We start from the raw sequence: 557 nt of genomic DNA, 5'->3' as shown, positions 1-557 counted from the left end.
AAAATTAAAATCAGAAATAGGCCGGGTGCGGTGGCTCACACCTGTAATCCCAGCACTTTGGGAGGGCGGATCACGAGGTCAGGAGATCGAGACCATCCTGGCTAACACGGTAAAACCCTGTCTCTACTGAAAATACAAAAAAATTAGGCAGGTGTGGTGGCACACGCCTGTAGTCCCAGCTACTCGGGAGGCTGAGGCAGGAGAATGGCATGAACCTGGGAGGCAGAGCTTGCAGTGAGCCGAGATTGCACCATTGCACTCCAGCCTGAGTGACAGAGCGAGACTCCGTCTCAAGAAAACAAACAAAGAAACAAAAATTAGACATAAAGAGAAAAACAGAGCTCTTCTGACACTGAACTGCTTGCTTTTCTAACAACAAGAAATTTACAACCATTTTAAATTGACCTGAAATACGCCAGTCACTTTGAGAGTCCTCAACTCCTAAAATCCTTAGCTAACACCAATCTTATTAGTTTCTCATCAAAAAATTTCATAGTTAATGTTACTTTAAAAACAACAACAACAACAACAACAACCAGGCAACGAAAGAAAAAGTC

Source organism: Homo sapiens, chromosome 2 (assembly GCF_000001405.40).
Source record: "Homo sapiens chromosome 2, GRCh38.p14 Primary Assembly".
Lineage (NCBI taxonomy): Eukaryota > Metazoa > Chordata > Mammalia > Primates > Hominidae > Homo > Homo sapiens.
The sequence above is the reverse complement of the archived record's forward strand: the minus strand, read 5'-3'. Positions refer to the sequence as shown.